This window comes from Homo sapiens, chromosome 5, assembly GCF_000001405.40.
Source record: "Homo sapiens chromosome 5, GRCh38.p14 Primary Assembly".
NCBI lineage: Eukaryota > Metazoa > Chordata > Mammalia > Primates > Hominidae > Homo > Homo sapiens.
Genome location: NC_000005.10, coordinates 132312579 through 132334468, shown reverse-complemented (window position 1 = coordinate 132334468; position 21890 = coordinate 132312579). Strand labels below are relative to the sequence as shown.

General features: G+C 45.3%; 1 protein-coding gene and 1 long non-coding RNA gene across 6 annotated transcripts in view, besides 3 other annotated features; one reads left to right on the top strand and one right to left on the bottom strand.

Annotated features, from left to right (window-relative positions):
• The window catches only part of SLC22A4 (solute carrier family 22 member 4), a 49797-nt gene that overhangs the window by 9722 nt on the left and 18185 nt on the right, over window positions 1-21890 (bottom strand). For 4 of the 5 annotated variants that reach the window (NM_003059.3, XM_006714675.5, XM_047417594.1 and 1 more), the window contains 4 exons: window positions 20701-20855; window positions 12114-12285; window positions 7066-7192; window positions 2619-2713 (listed from right to left, as the gene is read on the bottom strand). In NM_003059.3, the coding sequence (NP_003050.2) occupies window positions 2619-2713; window positions 7066-7192; window positions 12114-12285; window positions 20701-20855 (549 nt within the window). The remainder of the gene's footprint in view (window positions 1-2618; window positions 2714-7065; window positions 7193-12113; window positions 12286-20700; window positions 20856-21890) is intronic. The other variant, XM_011543589.3, reaches the window with a different exon arrangement.
• MIR3936HG (MIR3936 host gene) overlaps window positions 1-21890 on the top strand; it is a 58641-nt gene that overhangs the window by 35448 nt on the left and 1303 nt on the right. The window contains exon 7 of the long non-coding RNA NR_110997.1: window positions 2159-2280. This is a non-coding gene — a long non-coding RNA (MIR3936 host gene). The remainder of the gene's footprint in view (window positions 1-2158; window positions 2281-21890) is intronic.
• Window positions 11575-12093: an enhancer, noted in NCBI's record as "H3K27ac-H3K4me1 hESC enhancer chr5:131658069-131658587 (GRCh37/hg19 assembly coordinates)". NCBI's record gives its function as "activates a minimal SCP1, AML or CMV promoter by ChIP-STARR-seq in naive H9 embryonic stem cells {active_cell/tissue: H9 hESC(naive)}" and the evidence as "EXISTENCE:reporter gene assay evidence [ECO:0000049][PMID:30033119]".
• Window positions 12094-12612: an enhancer, noted in NCBI's record as "H3K27ac-H3K4me1 hESC enhancer chr5:131657550-131658068 (GRCh37/hg19 assembly coordinates)". NCBI's record gives its function as "activates a minimal SCP1, AML or CMV promoter by ChIP-STARR-seq in naive H9 embryonic stem cells {active_cell/tissue: H9 hESC(naive)}" and the evidence as "EXISTENCE:reporter gene assay evidence [ECO:0000049][PMID:30033119]".
• Window positions 12769-13269: an enhancer, noted in NCBI's record as "H3K27ac hESC enhancer chr5:131656893-131657393 (GRCh37/hg19 assembly coordinates)". NCBI's record gives its function as "activates a minimal SCP1, AML or CMV promoter by ChIP-STARR-seq in primed H9 embryonic stem cells {active_cell/tissue: H9 hESC(primed)}" and the evidence as "EXISTENCE:reporter gene assay evidence [ECO:0000049][PMID:30033119]".

The window sequence follows — 21890 nt, the reverse complement described above, 5'->3', positions numbered from 1 at the left end:
TTTCCGTCACTGCAGAAAGTTCTATTGGACAGTGCTAGTCTAGATATACCAATATTCAACAATAACTTTTCTCAGCTAGTTGATTTCAAGTTTTCCTATTTCCTGAATAGTTTGTACCTCCTCAATCTCTTAGAGCTATTATATGAAGAAAAAATATTAGTCACATCAGTGAACATAAAATCCAGATTTCATTCTTTAACAAAAAAGAGATACAAGGGTCATACTGTGGGATTCACTTAGAATAAATTCTGATTCTCTTTAGGGAAAAGAGTGAATGTCCCCTAATCCTTCAAAGTATCACAGACTGCAGTCTGTATATTCTGTCATTATAGTTAACTTCCATGTAGAAGCTTCTCTGTGGGCCATGCGTGGTGGCTCATGCCTGAAATCCCAGCACTTTGGGAGACCGAGGCAGGCAAATCACCTGAGGTCAGGAGTTTGAGACCAGCCTGGCCAACATGGTGAAACCCCGTCTCTACTTAAAAGACAAAAATTAGCCAGGCATGGTGGTGGCATGTGCCTATAATCCCAGCTACTTGGGAGGCTGAGACAGGAGAATTGCTTGAACCCAGGAGGCGAAGGTTGCAGTGAGCTGAGATCGCACCATTGCACTCCAGGCTGGGTGACAGAGCGAAACTCTATCTCAAAAAAATAAAAACATAAATAAAAAAAAGAAGCTTCTCTGTGGAAAAATAACTATGTAACTGAGTACCCCCATTTTTCTAAGAGATAGTTTATTTTCTCTCTCTCTTCTTTTCTCTTTCCTCCTTTTCTGCACTTTCTACTTAGCTCTTTAGAAGTGCAATTATAGCCTTTTAACCTCCTCTTCACTGGACACTCCCTGCAGGGCAAATTCATCTAACTATGTGCTTAGAAGCTCCAGAGTGGAACTCTCACCGCCCAGATTTCCTCAAGCGATATCAGTCAATTTCCAACTCAAAGTATGCCTGCTAGAGTTTTTGGCCACCTATACAACCTGTTTCTGCCCATGAAGGCACCACCTCAACTGCCCAGTAGATAAGGCAGCAAGCTAGCCCTCTGATCCCTCACCTGCTCGCGTCCTCCCCTGCCTTTTAGAAGTGCCTGCTTTCCGCTTCAAAAAGAGGAGCGGTGGTACCCTTCAGGCAGGAAGCCGATACCTTTCTCCCTAAGCTAGCTTTGGAATAAAAAGTCACTTTCCTTACATCAGACTTTGCTCTTGTTAATTGGACGCTGCAAGCTGTGAGTGACTGAACCTGAGTTTTTGTTACAACTGCACTATGCAGACACCCCTGTGTAGAAATTTGCTTATTATTAACATGACTGAGAAGCAGAGGATATCTGAAAAATGACTTCAGGAACACTAGTGGATCTTTTTACACATACTAGACCCAAATTAGATAATACAAGGACTAATTCATAAACACAACAAATAAGTATGCTCAAGGGATCTTAGTGATTTTCCCATTTAGTAATAGGAGTAGTTTAGATAGAACTAGTGACTAATTTTTTATTAGCTTAGTAGCACCACTACCCAAGAACATTTGCATCAGGGATATAGGCTGAAATGTAAGAACTAAGAAGCCCATGTACCTAGGACACACTTGCTTAATTCAGACGCATAAGCTCTGTCATTGATCTCTTCTAATTGCCAAGTAGGATGGCCCTTAAAAATAAACTTAGATTAGCTGCAGCCTAAATCTACCAGTTCTGACGATCATCGTGTGTGTGTGTGTGTGTGTGTGTGTGTGTGTGTGTGCTGCCATCATAGAGTAGGAATTTTCTTTTTTCCTTTTTTCTTGGCAGATAAATTATTAAATCTAATCTATAAAGCCAATTCAGTATTTCTGCGCCTGAAAGCCACTTGTTAGTTTGCTATTGGCACGTGTAAAAAGCTGATCAAGGCTCCAATCCAGGCAATGGGGATCTAGGTTATTCTAGCCTCAGTGTTCAATTGCCAGGTCAGCTTCAGGAAGCAGGAGCTGAATTAGCATCTCTGCCTCAGGCAACACGGACATCATTAGTCTTAATCTCATAATTTTTGGTGGGGAGGGAACCATTACCCAGGGACATCAATGATCTCAATCCCATAACTTTAGGAGGGGGAAGGGAATGCTTTCCCTTTGGGTCCCAGTACTGCAGACTTAAATACTGTACCCTGTGACTTTTTTTTTTTTAGATGGAGTCTTGCTCTGCTGCCCAGGCTGGAGTACAGTAGTGCGATCAAGGCTCACTGGAACCTCCACCTCCTGGGTTCAAGTGATTCTCCTGCCTCAGCCTCCCAAGTAGCTGGGATTACAGGTATGTGCCACCATGCCCAGGTAATTTTTGTATTTTTAGTAGAGACGGGGTTTCACCATGTTGGCTAGATTCGTCTCGAACTCCTGACCTCAGGTGATCTGCCCACCTTGGCCTCCCAAAGTGCTGGAATTACAGGCGTAAGCCATTGCGCCCAGTGACATTTTTCAATATCTAGTCCCATGAACTGAATAGAGGCATTTCAAAATAATTTAGAATTTTATAATCTTAATTTTTCCTCAGGAAAACCCAGTCGTTGTCATAATGTTCCTCTGAGTTAAGAAAATCAGTTGCATACTTATGTGCTGGATATCTGCATTTCCAGGTCACTTATTACTTACCATAGCAGCAAAGACATAATGGTCATTATGGCAATATTCCGAGTCCTGAACAGGTCCAGAATGAAAGCTTTCTGCTGCTTCAGGGGATTTAGCTCCTGTAACCAAAATAATGCAAATAACCATGAGATTAAGAGGTAGTAAGGAAGTATCTTTGGCTATGATGCATGGGGAAAACTTATGCATGCAACTCTCACTTCACCTTGACTATGCTTAGAAGTCTGGTGATTGGAGGCAATAGGGCATCTACATATATGACACTTACTCTGACACTTTAAAATGTTTGTAGTCCATTTTACACAGAAGCCTTTTAAATATATAACACCCCCTTCCCTGTCTCGTTAGACAAAGCCTGTTGGCTAACATAGCCTTTCTCTGACTGACAGTCAGAGAATGGATGTCATTTACCACACTGATCTGTGATCCTCAGGACTGCCTATTGAAGGGTAGGGCCATGTAGTCCCTTCCTTGAGGCCACGTCTGCTTTTTACACTTCTCTGTTTATTTGTTTGTTTTTTTTAGATGGAGTCTAGCTCTGTGGCCCAGGCTGGAGTGCAGTGGTGTGATCTCAGCTCACTGCAACCTCCACCTCCCAGGTTCAAGCGATTCTCCTGCCTCTCAGCCTCCTGAGTAGCTGGGATTACAGGCGAGCACCACCGCATCTGGCTAATTTTTGCATTTTTTGTAGAGACTGGGTTTCACCATGTTGGCCAGGTTGGTCTCAAACTCCTGGCCTCAAGCAGTCTGCCCACTTTGGCCTCCCAAAGTGCTGGGATTACCCAGCCTTGCTTTTTACACTTCTCTTGTTGTAGTCATTTAGCATCAGAACAGACTTCAGTTTACTGGCGGGCCTTGGGCAAGTAACGATCCTCTCTGAACTTCAGCTTACTGCTATATAAAATGGGTATATTAATTGGGAGTTGAGAGATTAAATGAGATCATATATATATAGCTTAGCACAGTGCTTGAACCATGGTAAATGTCCAGTAAATTTAAACTATTATTATTATTACTGTATCATTGAGGAAAAGAGGCTAGCCATCAGCGGTCAGTGACAAATCCTTACTGCTATCAATGGGTTTATACTCTTTTACTTTTATTTATATTTATTTTCTTGTTTGTTTTTTGAGAGGGAGTTTCACTCTTGTTGCCCAGGCTGGAGTACAGTGGCGCGATCTCAGCTCACTGCAACCTCCGCCTCCCAGGTTCAAGCAATTCCCCTGCCTCAGCCTCCTGAGTAGCTGGGATTACAGGCACCTGCCACCACACCTGGCTAATTTTTGTATTTTTAGTAGAGATGGGGTTTCGCCATATTGGCCAGGCTGGTCTCAAACTCCTGACTTCAGGTGATCCATCCACCTCAGCTTCCCAAAGTGCTGGGATTACAGGTGTGAGCCACTGCGCCCGGCCTATTCTTTTGCTTTTAATTTGCTGATATTAACTTGCTATGAGTTATGAATCAAGGTAACCAAGCTGATTAGAATTGAAACTAACATAAAAGTTATTAGGCTCTGAGGTGGGGAATCTCTCAGGGATGAAGTACCAGGACTTTGTGACTTTGTGGCCCTACAGTGCATGCGCAGTAAGAGACTGATGGAGGAGTTTTTATTATGAAGAAGTGGGAGTGCCAGGCCTGCCTTCACAGCAGGTCCTCTCCAAATGTGAGTGTCCTTTTTTCTAGGAATGATCAGACACTTACACAGCTCACAGCCACATTGCCTTTTCTCTCTTGCACTATTTGGATTGTAGAGCCCCAGAACATGCCCCCAGCAGAATAACCCTGGTATTATAACAAAGCAAAGCCACTGCATAAACTAGTGGGAACCAGACATCTTCTTGGAGGGTTCCAGGGTGGTGCACACAGACAGGACCTGTGGACCAGTCCTGTGCTAATACTTGGTGGTTCCACGGGGCCCTTCTTAAATGCAGGTTGCCAGGTTCCTCCCTGGGCTTGCCTACTTCGACTCTTTTAAACAGAGGCCTGAGAATCTGTATTCTTAAAGCACTTGGGTGATTGTGATGAGCAGCCAGGATTGGAAACCTCAGAACAAGAATATGCTTGTATCCAGTGGTTGTCCCTGGCCTGGGTGGAGCCACCAAAATGTCTTTGGATCAGGTACCAGAAGCAGGTTGAAGGTGCTTCTTCTGAAGCCAAGGATGCTTGAGATTGCTTTCTAAGACAATACTCTACTCTATATCTTTTCCTATCCAAGTTAATGCTACTGCCTGTAACATGAAGTGAAAAATCACAGTTGTTAAGAGCATGTACTTTGGTGCCTGGGAGAACTAGGTCACAAATCCCAGTTTAACATCTGTGTGATCCTGGGCAAGTTACTTAACTTCGCTGTGCCTTAGTTTCTTTTTTTGAAAAAAAAAAAAAGCATGAGCAATGAGCAGAACACAGTGCCTGGCATTTGGTAGGCTCTTCAATATCATTCTAAATAGGGTGCATTTGCTGGCACAGGGCTCTGCAGATCCTCCTAAAGAGGATCCTACGGGAGGTGAGCAGGGGAGATGACCAGGCCTCAGGAAAGCGCAAGCCCCCTTTCCCTTAATGGGTTTGTCCAGTTCAGGCTAGATGTGCATCATGGCAGGAAGAAAGAAGGCACTGTCAGGCTGAGAATGATGGCTCACATCTGTAATCCTAGCATTATGGGAGGCTGAGGTAGGAGGATTGCTTGAGCCCAGGAGTTTGAGACCAGCCTGGGCAACATAGTGAAACCCTGTCTCTACAAAAAAAAATACAAAATGTTAGCTGGGTTTGGTGGCAAGTGCCTGTAGTCCCAGCTTGGGAGGTTGAGGTGGGAGGATTGCTTGAGCCCAGAAGGTCGAGGTCGAGGCTACATTGAGCTGTAATTGTACCACTGCACTCTAGCCTGAGCAAAACAGTGAGACTCAAAATTTTTTTAAAGTGTGTGTGTGTATATATATATATATATATATATATATACACATACACACATATATATACACATTTATATATGCGTGTGTGTGTGTGTGTGTGTGTGTGTGTGTATATATATATATATAAAGGCACTGCCAGAACCATGTGTTTTAACACTGAACTATATTCTTATTTGTCCATAACTATATATCTCATATCTATTTTATGATTGCTGTCATCCACATAGGTAGATCCCTACAACTAGACTCTAAGTTTCACAGATAGGAATCAGGCCACCTAGCTGATAAATACCGATAAACACCCCAGCACAGCCCTGAAGGGCAGAAGTGTTAGACACTCCCAATGTTGTTGTTGTTGTTGTTGTTGTTGTTTTATCCATTTAAATTGACTGAGACTTGAAATGGACTTCTTGATTTGAAGGGCAAAGGATTAAGGGATGTTTTGTCCTGGCAGCCCTCTGAGAGCTTGAGTTCATGGCCAGTCTAAGCCTCTAGCCATAGCCAGAGTATCTGCTTCTGGAAAAGGTCCTGAAGGCCAGGGACTGGGGAAGCCGTGGGGGTGAGCAGTGGCATGCCCACCGTCCTCTACAGAGTTCTGCTTTCTGTACTACATGCTTTGGTGCAGGGCATGTATAATGTTACTGAAGCCACCACAGTCTTTTTTAGGTGTCCTGAGCAGACTCCTACCTATCTCCTAGACAGGAATGCCCTGCCCCATCCTCTCCACTCATTTAAGTGAGTCCTGCTGTCCTCCCTGGCTTGGACCTGCCTCCAGCCATGGGCCACCCTGCTATCTTTCTCTGTATTGCTGGCACACAGTGTCTCTACTTGGATACTTACCATTTCCTCCCTTATGCCATTCTTTATCTTTTTATCTAATCCTCTTGCCAATCTTAGTTACATTCTATGTTCCTTTAGAATTTGGGCTGTGTCTTTTCTTATTTCCTCTAGGAGCCAGCACAGGGCATGGCACACTGCATATCCTCACGAACTGTCAGGAGGTGTGGCTGCTTCCACAGAATATCAGCTTTTCCTTGTGGCCACCAGCTTTCAAGGGTGAATCCTCAAGCCTGTGCTTTCAGGCCTTAAGGTTCTAGACATGACACAGAGTGAGACTAAAGACATGCATAGCTTCCTCAGCAGTCTGTGGTAAGATTCAGGGTACAGTGGAGAACCCAGGGTGGACTAGCCCTGAAACATATTTTTCCACTTAATCTGGACATTTAAAAATCATCAGTACATAGCTGTGTCAGTGGTTTGGAGCAATGCCAATAGAAAGTTGATGATAAACTTGCAAAATAAAGCAAACTAATATTTAATGAACGCTTGCTATTTGCTAAGCAGTTTACATATATTATTGCATTTAATTCTTATAAACAGCCCTTTAAGGTGGATTTTATCTTAGAATTTAATCATGATTGTGTTCCTAAGGCCTAGTGCAATGCCTGGTACATAGTGGGCACTTAACAAATATTGAATTAAGTTAAATTCCATAAAATCAAGAATGCATAGCTGATCTCAAGAGGAAACATCTGCAAATGCTTACCTCCACAGAATCAAATATCACTGCTGGTACAGCTATGTTGTTCATTTTTGCAGCTTTTTGGATGATATCTTCAGCCTCTCTAAATCTTCTCTGGGATATCAGCCATCGGGGAGATTCAGGAATGAACCTATAATTTATTTTTAATATTTAATAATTTTTCACAACAGCAGGGCTGGATACTATTAAATCTGAGTTTCCCCCAAATAGTTTTAATTTTGTAAAATTCTAGTTTGTCTTTTTAAAGGGAGTCCACATAAGATTTCTATTGGAGCATAGGAATAAATAAAACCACCTTCAAGTTTCAAACTTCTGATCAAATTATAAGACCGATCATCAGTTGTGCTTGAGACCAGGACCAGACCATAAGGGGTGACATTAACTATGGGCATGTTTGAGCCAGGGCTCTGGAGAAGTTCATCCAAAACTTATAGGTAGTGTGGCTCATAAAAGAAACATAGCTACTAGACTATAAGTTCCCCTAGAGAAGAGACTGTCTTTGCAGTGGGTCCATCCTAAGGAGAATTGCTGGTGTCCCAGCTGGTGATGTTCACAGTTTATTGGGAAAAGGATGGCCAGGGCACCTGTGTTCTTGATCGTTTCCTTTAGTCAAAAGAGAAAGTGAGGGCACTGACACCCGCCTGTGTGGGGCCCCCATGGCTTTCAACAGATTCCCAGATCAGCGAGTGCCCAAACCAGCTTTTGGGAGATGAGCCCCAATGTTGTCTTTTTGTTAATGTCTAAAAAAGCTTATTGTTTTAAATTACATAGTCTATTCCCATTTATAGCTGATGCTCAAACACAGTTGCAAATAATAGGGCTTCTATTCTTTCTAAATTTTTATTTCTCAAAATCTTTTAGCCATTCTCCTGTCAGCTCTCATTTTCCTTACCTATTGTCAGTACAGATGGTCCCTAACTTATGATGGTTCGACTTATGATTTTTCTACTATAGGAGAAAAATGATATGCATTGAGTAGAAACCTTACTTTGAGTGCTCATACATACAGCCATTCTGTTGTTCACTTTCAGTACAGTATTTAATAAATTACATGAAATATTCAACACTTAATTATAAAATAGGTTTTGTGTTAGAAAATTTTGCCCAATTGTAGGCTAATGTAAGTGTTCTGAGCATGTTTAAGGTAGGTCAGGCTGAGCTATGATATTTGGTAGGGATGCAGGGCAGGCAAGCTCCAGAGTGGGGTTTGGCCCATGAGGGTTCTTGGCTTTGCCCAGGAAAGAATTCAAGGGCAAACTGGAGGTGGAAGAAAACAGCTTTATTGAAGAGGCAATGTTACAGCTCCGTGACTGCTCCTGCAGAGCAGGGCTGCCCCACAGGCAGAGAGTAGCAGCTCAGGACAGTTTTGCACTCATATTTATAACTACTTTTAATTACATGTAGATGAAAGGTCAGTTTATGCAGAAATTTCTAGGGAAAGGGTAGTAATTTTTGGGTCATTGGGTCATTGCCATGGAAAGGGGCAATAAAGCCTGAGTGTTGTCATGGCAACAGTAAACTGACATGGCACACGGGTGGGCGTGTCTTATGGAAAGCGTCTTCTGCCCTGGCTGTGTTTTAGCTGGTCCTCAATTTGGTCCAGTGTCCAAGCCCTGCCTCTGGAGTCGTGTCTGGCCTCCTACCTCAGTAGGTTAGGTGTATTGACCTAGAATATTCTCAATTTACAATGGGCTTATTGGGATGTAACCCCATTATAAGTCAAAGAGCATCTGTACTTACTTAGCCTAGACAACAAATTATAAGTAGCAGACACAGAGTCCTGTGTAGTTAATTGGCCCCAAACCCACACTAGGAATTAGCTCAGAGCAAAACAAATGACCAACCAGCAGGTCCCCTCTCCAGCTTAATAGCACATGAGTTGAAAAATGAGCCTAGTTTGCATTTTTCAGAATATGCCTTTAGTGGGTCCCTATAGGAACTACAATAATGTTAGGTCACTGACTCTCAGTAATTAGAACTGTGCTGTCCGATAGAAACTTCTGAAATGTTCTGTATCTGTACTAAGACAGCACCCACTAACCACATGTAGCTATTGAGCTAGTGTGATTGAAGAAATGAAAATTCAATTTTATTTACTTTTAATTAATTTTAACTTAAATAGCTGCATGTGGCTGGTGGCTACTATATTAGTGCAGAATTAGAGATCTTACTACACAGCCACGATATACCTCATGGATGGGGCCAGTATCTTTCTCCAACCAGATTATGCTTAGAAATATCCTACCTTTTTTTCTACAGACCACTGGCCTCAGATTCTTAATGTTTAATCAGCTAGAAATTGCATAGCTTTCCTCACATTGCATCTATGGCCTGCTTCCCTACCCCATCCCCACCGCCTATACACATACTCCATTCACACCTGTGGCCACTTACTGCCAAGCCTTTTAAAGGAAACTTGGGACATAAAAAGTCCCCCAAACCACCAGCAGTGCCTCTATGTAGGTTTACCTCCCATTTCTAGCCCACTGTACTCAGGGCCACTGGTATCTCTAGTTTTGAATTGCTTTGATTTTTTTTTGGTGCACATAATCTCAAATCTAGCTGATCATTTCAAAAGTCAATGGAGTGCCAAATGAGGTAGCACACTATAATCTCTCTGTAGATTGAATTCAGACTAAACAGCAGTGAGGTGTTGCTGGAGAGCTTGTCTCATACTGAGCAGGCGGCAGGGTCCATGTCAGCTCTAAGCATCCCTCCATACCCCAACCACTAGACTGATGAGCATCCCTTTGGGAAGACCCACCTGCAAGGATGGGATGTTCAGAAGAAAGCTATTTTCTTTTATAGGAAAATGGTAAGACCACTGGTAAATGTTCAGGGGGAGCACTCAGCTTGTCAGTGCTGGTCCCAGGCTGGCCTCTGTCTGGGGCAAGTCCTGTCCCTGGTACAGTATGCCCACAGCCAGGAGCATTCATGGACCAGCTCCTGGGGAATAGAAGAAAAAGCTCTCCTTAGGGCACAGTGAGCAGGCTCCCTGTGGGATGGACCTTCTCTGCTGGAAACTCTGGAGGCTGACTCTGGAGGGCTAATGGATCAGAGCTGTTCGTTCCTCGCTGTGACATATGGTCCCGAGGCAAAGATCCCATCCCTACTAATCTCTGTACAGCCCATCAGAGGCTTTATATTGTTATTCTCTCTCTCTCTTTCTCTCTGATAGAATCATACCTTAATCAGATTGATTATAACTTTTTTTTTGAGACAGCATCTCATTCTATCTGGGCTGGAGTGCAGTGGCATGATCATATAGCGCACTGTAATCTTGAACTCCCAGGCTCAAGGGACCCTCCCACCTCTGCCTCCTAAGTAGCTGGGACTACAGGCGCTCACCACTGCACCCAGCTAATTTTTTATTTTTAGTACAGACAGGGTTTTGCCATGTTGCCCAGGCTGGTTTTGAACTGCTGGGCTAAAGTGATCCTCCCACCTTGGCCTCCCAAAGTGCTGGGATTACAGGTGTGAATCACCATACCTGGCTAATTATAACATTTTGAAAGTACTGGTCTCTTAGGTCAAAATGACAACTAGAGCCAGAGAACATAGTTTATTAAAACCATTCAGCTGAAGAGGCAGAAAAGAACCTTTGAATAATCTTGTCATGTGTCTTGAGAGAACCTTAGTCACTAACATCTTTTCCAATAAATTCAGCTAGCAAGGGAGTTGTGGAGAGAAGGACAGATGATGATGATGATAATTACTCTCATTCAGAAAATTGCTCTGCTCTTGTAAGTCTGGGATGCTTTCCTTGGAGGCACAGCTATGTAGATAATGGCCAGCCCTTATTCACTGCTCCTCAGGCCGGGTTTCCCGGTCCTCAGACAGGGTTCCAGAGGAATGTTGCAAATCAGAATAATACATAACCTTTAACAAACTGTCAACTCCCCCTGCACACTTCATGCCAATAATTTACACTAGTAAATCACAGCACTCTTACAGGTCATGAGAATACAGGGGCTTAGAGTGAGCCCACCTGACCTGCGCTATCTCGTCAGACAGGTGGCCTGCCTGTCAACCTCTATGACTGCCTAACAGCTGCAGTAAGATAAAGGCCTAGACAGCTTCCCAGTCAGGAGGTATCCAAAGGACAGGGCAACCATGAGGTCTAGTCTAAATTGTGAGTTCCAAAAAATGGTCAAAGAAGCTTGTGTTATGTGTAAGCAGGTAGAAGTTATGCAGTTCGGTGAAACCAGTCAGTGCTGGAAGATTTGACTTTGATATAATGAAATCAAACAAAGAAGAATTAATGAGAGAGAAAGAGAATGAGAGAGAGACAGAACCAGACCCACCAATGGAAGGAATCTCCTTTTCTCTTGCTTAAATATGAAAAAGCAAAGGAACAGGAAATCTCCAAAAAGAGGGTATGTCTGACACCTTGTTCTATGATTTTTAATTTATTCTTTCACCTGAAATCCCCCAGATAGTCATATTGGGCAAGACTGAGGCCAGAATCTTCAAACTTTGTTATTCCTATAACTGTTGTGTTAAAACTGAGTTGGGAGGTTGTGGGAGGAGAGAAGAGGACATTTCTCTAACAATTTATTAAATAAAAAGTAATTTTCTCACTCTTCGAGACATAGCAGATAAATAGGCACACTATCATAGTGCTAATAAATAGGCTTCCCTTTCATAGATGCTAATCGTTATATGATAGGGAAGCTTGAAGAATTACATTAGTTGGATAGAGTGAGATTTTTCTAGAGAGAGAAAAGTGATGAAAGAGCAGGGGGCAGAGTTAAAAACAACAAAATCCAACACCACCAGCTCCACAAATAACAAGTAGCAACAGACAGGAGTGGCTGGTATCAAGGAAGAGATTGGAATCCTGAGAATGTGCTTTTTAGGACAATGGAGACTCAAACTCCAGCACACAGGCCCACCCACAATGAGGCAAAAACTCTCCCGGCTTGGAAGCTGGCCTCCGCGAGTTCCGTGGAGGTCATGCAAGCCCAGGCTAGGTCAGCATCAGGCTCCAGGTGTGTTCCAGGTGTGCTGACCCGCAGCAGAGGGCCTGTCTGGGGACGAGTCACACTCACCACCACAGCGGGACACACAGCACTCCCGGCACCGTCAGCGCCAGCAGCAGCATCCGCCAGTCTCTGATGAAGTAAGCAAACAGTGGCAGCAGCATATAGCCAACTGCAAAAAATGTGCACACTCCTAATGTAGAGAATATAATACGAACTGACTTGCCAAGAATTTCTGTTCCTGTTCAAAACAAGGGAGGAGTATTAGCATATTAACTCACTTTAATATTTGCTTTTTATATCATTATGTGGCAGTTAGAGTTCAAACTATCACCACTTAGAAAAGGGGAAAGGCATTTGCCTCATGGCCCAGAGCAGGCATGGTCAGGGTAGAGGAAGGTGGGACGTGATCCAAGACTTGGCAACTTATAGAAGGTTGAATTTCTATGAGATTTTAATGGAGCCATAGATTTATTTATTTATTTTTAATTAATTTATTATTATTATTATTATTTTTGAGACAAAGTCTCCCTCTGTTGCCCGGGCTGCAGTGCAGTGGCGTGATCTCAGCTCATTGCAACCTCTGCCTCCCAAGCTCAAGTGACCTTCCCACTTCAGCCTTCCGAACAGCTGGAACTACAGGCGTGCACCACCACGCCTGGCTAATTTTTGTATTTTTAGTAGAGACAGAGTTTCGCCATGTTGGCCAGGCTGGTCTTGAACTCCTGACCTCAAGTGATCTACCTGCCTTGGCCTCCCAAAATGTTGGGATTACAGTCATGAGCCACCGCGCCTGGCCAACTTATTTTAAGGCCATTCCATGTCATAAAAATATCATGCCCAGCCCCAAGAGCTAATCCCTTCTGAGAATGCCACATTTCCAAAATAAGAGCCCCAACATGAGAAGCAGAGAGAGCATTTCAGGAGACAAGCAGTGGCTCTTCTGAGGGGCCATGTGGGGTCAAGGTGTGTGTAGCCTTTCCAACAGTTCTGAACTGTAAATAAACAGACATTGGCCCATCAGGAAGCAGTGGAGAGTTCATCATTTCCAAGACCTCAGGGCACACTTACCCATGCCTGAGCCCTGAGAAATCAGTTGGAGTGAGCTGGCTCTGGAGGTACACAGACAGGCCTTCCTGCAGCATGCTGTGCCCAGAGATCAGCCCAGGCAGACACAGTCCACAGTCCATTTGGACCAAGGAAAGAAAAGCAGGCGCTGTTCTGCTGCCCCTGCAGGCAGCAGCCCTAGACCTGTCCACACACCCATTGAACTCACAGTGCTTTCCCTGAACAGCAGAAAGGCCCATGACTGCTTGGTGCGGGCACTGCTTTTTGGGAAAGGACATGCAGGCGACTATTGGCCTCTGCTCTGCTCAGTGCCACAGTGAGCAGAGATGGCACCAGATGGGAGTCCAAGAACAAAGCTCCTTCTCTTGTCACGGAGCTCTGGGCCCTTTCCACAGAGTCTGCCCTTGGTTCACTACACCTGGGGCGGAGATGTGACCAATGGCAATGGCTCTGCCTTTTGTTGGGGATCTGCCCATGCTATAGAGAAGTGGCCTGGAAGATACAAAACAGATAATTCAAAGGTCATTCATGCTTGCCTTTTAAGAGAGATTTTCTCAGTCATGTTTATATGCCCTAGGCACAGGCTAAGGGATTAAGAGCTAATTCCAGAGAAGCAGCAAAATTACTATGTTGGCTGGTTTCTCATTTTACCACCTATCTGTTCCCATCCCACCCCACTCATTCCCCTTCACTGTTCATAACTGAGAGATCTGCCTCAGTGGGTCCCTCTCAAGAGGCCATTTAAAAACCTGGACTGATAGAAACAGCCAGTACTTTGTGCCTCCTGCATCCCATGTTGGAGACAATTGCCCTAACCACCCAGAGCATTGCTCAGCCTATAAACCCATTTCCAAGGATAGGGCCTGACTTCTTTGAGGATCATGAGTATGATTTCCAGGTCTTTTCTGACCTCATTAATGACCTTCCTGCTATGCACTGGTTTCTAAACCCCTTGGCCGTGATTGTGATGTGGAAATAAATAGAAGGTGCTTTATTCTTAAGCAGAGATTCAGTGGCAGAGGGTTTGATTTTGGAAAAGAGAAAGGGCGCAGGATCAAGTGAGAATCTTGTAGAATTGTGAGGCCAGAGGAGCTTTCTCCTACCTTCATGACCTTGTTAAGAAAAGAGAAGTTATACTACTGGGTTCCTGGATAATCTCCCTCTCTAAGCATGGGTCTCAGACCAGAACAGTTATATAACTTTGCAGAGTGCATGTTGGGGACAGAGACTTTGTAGGTCTCTCTCTTTGCCTTCCTGTGGACAGCATGGATGGTACAAATTGAAATAATTCCTTTTTAGTCCTACTTTCTGCTCTCTTTTAGGCAGTCACCCTTCCTTAAACAGGATCACCATCTTCACAGCTAGCATTTTTTTGAGTAGGTACTTTGAGACAGGTTCCAGGCTAAGTGTTTACATATATTATCTCTTTGACCCTTCACACCAGTTATATAAAAACTAATATTCCAGGCCAGGCACGGTGGCTTATGCCTGTAATCCCAGCACTAGGGAAGCCAAGGCAGGCAGATCACCTGAGGTCAGGAGTTTGAGACCAGCCTGACCAATATGATGAAACCTGTCTCTACTAAGAATACAAAAATTAGCCAGGCATGGTGGCAGGCACCTGTAATCCCACCTATTCGGGAGGCTGAGACAGGATAATCGCTTGAACCCAGGAGGCAGAGGTTGCAGTGAGCCGAGATCATGCCACTGCACTCCAGACTGGGCAACAAGAGCGAAACTCCATCTCAAACAAAAACAAAAACTAAAACAAAAGCTAATATTCCTCCTACTTTACACATAATTAGCTGAGACTTCAGAGTTAAAGCCAATTGCTTAAATTCATGCACATAATAAGTGGTGCACCAGGATTTAAGCCTTATTTGCTCTATGGATACTGGTCTACCTTCCAAGAAAAAAATTACTGGGGGCATGACTTGGCCTTATAAAGCAGTTCTTCAACTGAGAGTCCAGTAGAGACATGAGGGGAGATGGGTAAGGCCATATCCTGCTGTCATTTTTACAGTTTTTCTTTTTTTTCTTTTTTTTTTTTTTTTTGAGACAGACTTGTGCTCTGTTGCCTAGGCCAGAGTGCAGTGGTGCAATCTCAGCTTACTGTAACCTCTTCCTCCTGGGTTCAAGCGATTTTCCTGCCTCAGCCTCCCAAGTAGCTAGGACTACAGGCGCTTGCCACCATGCCCGGCTAATTTTTGTATTTTTAGTAGAGACGGGGTTTTGCCATGTTGGCCAGGCTGGTCTTGAACTCCTGACCTCAGGTGATCCACCCACCTTATCCCCCTTTCAGAAGTGGATTTACATTTTCCCTTCCTTGGCTTGTCACTGGAAGCCAGCCAGACCCCTCTGAGTAATGCTAGGAGAGAACCCTGATTACACAGATCTTTTATGGCCTGCAGCTGCCATGAGCTTTCCATGTGGCAGTGAAACAGATGACACAGCAGTGACTCCTGCTGTGCTGACGGGGGATCCCTGTCCTGGCCCCCTATGCTCTATCTGCCTCTTCTGCCTGCTTTGCTTCTAGGGCAAAGCCTGGTTGGTCTTGGTCTGGCTGGGCTTCTGAGTTTCTCCTGGGAGTGAAACTTTGACATCTAAGCCAAAGGGACATGACCTGGCTAGGATGAGGGCCAGCATAGCCCTAGGAGTATTGCCCACCACCTGTCACACCCCTCTGAATCTGAGCACTCTCTCCAAGAGGGAGTGACTCAGAGAGGGCCAGGCTGCCTTCCATGTAGAGCAGTACCTGCCCCAGGAACCGCTGGGCCCATTCCACACAGAGGCAGGACATGCACCTTCATAAATGACCAACATAGGCTCTCAGTAGACCCCAGCTCAAGAAACAAGACTGTAGTGCAGCTGCCAGGATATGAGGCGAGACCCAGGAACCATGGGCTAGGAGTGTCCTCCATCTGGCACGGGGAGAACCTGGGTTCCTTGATGCTGAGTTGCTACTAGAGTGACTGTGATAAGCCGTCTTTCATGGAGATATTATTATGAAGACTGAGATCATGTATGCAAAGTGCCTAGGAGGGTGTCTGGCATGTGGCAGGTGCTCAGTAATAGTTATTCTTTATCCTGATCAAGCAGTTGAAATGTGCTACATGTCAGGGGAGTGATGGAAAGTACAATGCTTTTGATCCAAAAAGGCCCAGTGGAAGACAGAACTCCTCTTCAGGGCTTAACAGATGTTCCCCTGCTCAGGGCTTCCCCTCTGTCTGCACCAATCACTCCAGTCAAAAGTAACATTTCCTATCTCTGTGTATACCCAGCAATATGTGCCCCACTCCCTTGACCCATGTCCCCATGTCCACAGTGACAGCTGCATTGGCTGCAGAGGCACAACCAGGCAGTGAGCTCCTTGTGAATAGACAGGAGTAAGTTCTTGCTCTTCCCTGGGTCTCCCCAGTTCTTCCCTCTTACGGTGCAATGCAAATAAGGTATGCCAGCAAATTTCTGCATCATGTTTACGTATTTATATGCCAGCTCATCCCTTGGAGATTTTGAGGCAACTTCAAATTTAAATACAATAAAATAATGGTAACATTAAAGTAAGATATAAAGAAAAGTAAAAAGTTGTGCCTTGGTGAAAAGATCAAAAATACGCAGCTGACTATTTTGAAAACAGTTTGGCAGTTCCTCAAAAGGTTAAATATAGAATCACCATAGGACCCAGCAGAGGTCCTACCTTATACCCAAGAGAATTAAAAACATATATCCACAAAAATACTTATTCTCCAATGTTCATAGCATTATTCATAACAGCCCCAAAGTAGAAACACCCAGGTGTTCAATGACTGATGAATGGATGACCGAAATGTGTTGTCTTCATCCAGTGGAATACTAATTCATGTTACAACATGGATCAACCTTGAAAACAAGTGGAGTCAGTCACAAAGGCCACATAATATATGATTCTGTTTATATCAAATGTGCGGAATAGGGAAATCCATTAAAGGCAGAAAGTAAATTAGTGGTTGCCAGGGGCGAGGGGAAGAGGGAAATGACTGCTAATTCGTATAGGGTTTCTTTTCAGGGTGATGAGGAGTTAGATAGTGTTGATGGCTGTACAACTTTGTGAATATGCTAAACACCACTGAATTATACACTTTAAAAGTGTGAATATCATGGTATGCAAATCTGTCATGGACTGAATGTTTGTGTCCCTCTATTATTCATACATTGATCCCCTGACCTGATAGGGTATAGGATTAGTGTTCTTACAAGAAGAGACACCAGAGAGTGAGCTCTCTATGGCTCACTCTCTCTTTCTTGCTTTCCCTCTTTCTGAGCACTTGCGCAGAGGAAAGACCATGTGAGGACTTAGGGAGAAGGCAGCCATCTGCAACCCAATGGGAGAACCCTCACCAGACACCAACCCTGCTGGCACTTTGATCTTGGACTTCTACCCTCCACAACTGTGGAAAATAAATTTTGGTTGTTTAAACCACCCAGCCTATAGGATTTTGTTACGGCATCCTAAACAGGCGAAGACAAAATTATATTTCAACTGTTCAATTTAAAAACAGTAAAAAATATATATATATGTGGCTGGTAAAAGCTGCATCATTGATGTAGTTAAATTTCAAATTTGCCTGAGCTTCCTGGTAGCCAGAGTTGTAAAGGAAGATGCCATCACTTACACACCTATCAAAAGGAGGAACCTCTAGACATCAGAGGAAGCAAAGCTTTAAATGGTTCAGCATGCCCAAAGAAATGTCACATGGAGGTTGATGTTAGAAGTACTGAAAAATACTGAATTAATGAATCAGTCAAGAGTTTTTTCTGTGTTATTAAATACAGAAACACTTTTTGTGTTTAAGCAGCTAGTTATGGGGGATAAGAGAGGATACTGATGGCATTCTACCCAGAAGGCTATTGACAGGTGGAGGGCATTATTTCTGGGCAACAGTAGGAGATTGTGAGGGGAGCTGGAACGTGGGTAGGGTTAGTGTCCTTGGTCCCGAGTGGTCATTTCCTCCTAAACCAGCATCATTCCGGCAACACCATCACTTCCAGGCATGTCTGCTTTATGCTGTGTAGGGTAGCACTGTTCTTTCTTTCTCTTTTCTAGTCTGCTACGACTGTGGCAGCCTTGATCATTTTTTAAAAGCAGCACAAAACAAGGACTCATTTCTGCACTACTTTGACAGTGGGAGTAATTTGGCTTCCCAAGTTAATGTGAAATTATCATGCAGAGCTTTGCCAACCCTTCCTTAGGGCCAGAGGGTGGAAGCGAAGGCACCTACCAAACTCCTCAGCCCAGACCACACCCTTTGGTTTATTTTAGTCAAATACAACCTGGAATTCAGCTATTTTATCCCAGAAACACCAGAGAGCACTGCTGCACTGTAGGGAAGCTAGCAGCCACCTTGCCTTTGTACTGTGTCCCCCAACCCCAGGTGCTGACTGGGGCGTCCAGCCATTCCAGAGCAGGCTGGTTTTCAGGGACACTTAAACTTTCAGACCTGAGAACCCAACACAACGAGTCTCATACCAGGATACAAAAGCCAGTAATTTCCTGCAGAGCACAATGGAGTAAAACTACCATGAAGAGGCTCCCAGAGCACCCTATAACAGGCCTGGCCCCAGGCTGATAGCAAGCCCTGAGAGGCCTGGATCCCAGCTGATAGCGAGGCTGCTGCACCCAGGGTCTTACCTACTGACTGGCTGGCTTGACTGATCTTCCATGGCCTTACTTTCCCCTTGGCCCTCTTACCCTTCTTCACCCTGCATGTGGGACCACATGCTGCATGGGAACTGGGAGGAGAGTAGATGATAGTGTCAGAGCCGGCGGGGGAGGGCAGCCCTTTCCTGTAGGAAGCCTGGGGTATGCTCTCCCTGCCTCACCCGCTCACACAGGGGAGGCTTGGAGGCTCCAGAATCACCCTGTGCCACTAAAAAGGCAGATCTCAGTGCTGCCCATTCTATAGAACCGGGGATGCCACCACCTGGCACAAGTCCCACCTTGTTCCCATTCCCACGGAGAGAGCTTCTCTGGCTTCACCGTGACTCTCTACCCTTCTGTTCCAGATGGTCCTTCAGGTCCTCCTGGGATATGGGCCTGCTGGTCAGAGTCCTCCGTTTTGGGGAGGCCTGTTTGGCTTTTGGTATGTGTCTGGCCCAAGCAGAGCCACATGTTGGGTTTTTCAGGCTTAGGGAGGATCGTCACATGGAAGATGGATTCTGGGGACTTTGAACATGAAGACAATAGGCTTTGCCTTGTGTTCTTGGAGCCACTGGGGACTAGGAGGTTGCAATTTCTATCTTAAGTTCCTCCAACCTCCAGTTTCCAACAACACTGGCCTGAAGCTCCCTGTGCCCTCTACACAAATGATCTTCAAGAAAATCTTGCCCCGCTCCTTCCCCCTGCAGGAAGGGGAGCAGCCTCCTCCCGCTGGGGCCTGCTGAAGAGTGTGCTACCTGCTGGGACCATGTGGCTCCAGCATGTTCTTCCCACCTTGTCTCCTCCCTTCTCCCCTCTGCAGACACTGAGGCTGAGCCCATGGCACGGGGCTCTTCGCAAATAATTAAAGGAGTAGAGTTGGAATATTTCCATCCTGGCAACTTGACAGAAGGTGTACACACCATCAATTAAGACAGTGCAGCATCTCCAAAGCCAACGAGTCCTTCAGACTCTTAAAAAGCAATCAGAGTCACCTAACCAGATTCGGACTTTTGAGGCAAGAAGAATCGTTAGACTTCTATTAAAGGAGTATTATTAATAATGACACTGTGACAATAGGGACAAATTGGGATGGTACTGAGCCACCTAGAATATATTATCACCCTAGAGATGATGGGAACTGGTGTCTACTGTCCCAGGGATACCCCTCACCTCTGCTTCTCTCATTTGCCCATTCGCTGGGCTCAAGAGAACACACTCTCTCACTCCTGTGGATGACCCTCATCAACTCGCCTGGAGCTCACCTAACTCCCTCCCAGGAAAAGCTGCTGAGGGCCCCAGGGACCTCTTCATGACCTTGTAACTGATGAGTCTTCCTCATGCAGCCTGACAGGAGATGGGGCTATCAGTGTGGGGAGGCTTGTCCTGTGCTTAGCTGATAGGCTCTGGGGTGGGCTCTAACTCAGGGTGAGGCCAGATAGGCCCAGTGATGGCGGGCTGGCACTGAACTCCCCCTGTCTGACATGAGCCTCCCCACCTGTGTACTGGCCACAGTGACTACCCTAAGTCTCTTCACAAGCAACCAGGAAGAAGTCTCAAGCCTACACAACTCAGATCAAAGACATCCTCAGGCTGCCCTTCCCCTAAACTGTCCTCCTCTGTGCCTCTCTTAAGCCCTGTGCTCCAGAGAATGTGTCTCAGCTGTTGTGCAGCTGGTTCTTAATGGCTCCTGCTCTTCTTCTCCACCACATTTCAGGGCTCAGCACAGAGGTGGCTCCCTGCGAGTGCCTGCCCTGCCCCTGACTTGCTCCAAGAGCTGTGGCTACGGCTCCCTCCCAAGACACATATATCCAAAGGCTTTGGAAGCACAGCCCAATGGCCCAATGATTTCCTCTTTCTGGGCCTTTCAGAGGGTTAGAGGGAAGCACCCCATGTCCCAGAAGCCATTCCTACCTAGTATGAAGGCTACCACATAGTTGGAGATCTGGCCCATGCCCACGATGACAAATAACACAGTGAACATCTCCCAGCTGATGGAGAAAATCTGCAGGAAGCTGAAGCCAGTCTGTACAGCCATGGTTGCGAAGAGAACGTTCTTCCTGCCAAACCTAGAGAATGCAGTATAACACAAAACATGAGATGTGTAGGTTGCCAAGGTGTGTTGCAAGCCCTGAGTCAGGCATCAATGCAGACTTAGTGTTTTTTCAGGGCTCTGGCAGACTTTTTTCTCTGTCACATCCTCCCATCTTCCTCCTTGGTGAGGTCTCAGGCATCCATCTGCTCAGGAGATATCTTTTGAGATTCTCAGCTTCCTGTGGAGACACCATGTCTCAAAAGCATGGAGCAGTGTACGCAAGGACCTTGTGGAAATATGCTCTTTAGAAGGAGCCACAGATAGATGCTACCAGCACATTTCTGGAAAGTGGGTACAGCACAGATTGCAGATATTTCTTGAATCAGCAACATGAAAATTCTGTAAATCCAGAACTAAGAGTCACTCTGCAAGTGGTTTTTAACCTTGGCTGCACTTGGAATCACCCGGAGAGCTTGGAAAAAATACTGATGCCAGCACCCCACCTCCCAAGATTTTGGGATACAGTTTGGGTATTAGGATTTGGGAAAGTTTCCCAGATGAGTAGCGTGCAACAAAAATTGCAAACCACTGCTCTGTGGGAAGGTGTAGCTTTCAGCAATGTCTGTTGGTGACACTGAAGTTGTTTTAAGTATTATCTTCACATTCTGGTAGTGACCAGTGGATAGAATGGAGCACAGGTGTGAGCAGAACAGCCTTTCCCGCCCCATTTTCCAAACTCATGTCTCTGGCTGTTGGCTTGGGCTGGGAGGCTTTCCCCAGCATTGCCATTTAGTACCCCCACCTTCCTGCACTGGTCACCCAGCACATACAGGGGCCTGTGGAATACTGTCTCCTGGTGCTGTGATGCTGCCTCCTCAGGCCTGTAAGCTCTATGAGGGTCAGAGCCAGCATCAGCTCTGTGGCCCCAGTGCCTGGCCCAGGGTCCAAGCCACAGCAGCAGTGTGTGCACAGTTGGGGCTCACTGTCTGGCTGCTGGCTGTTTGCAGACAGATCCTGTGCCATCCACCCCTACCCCTGAGGTGGTGGTGGAGCAGGGAGGGCAGTGGTG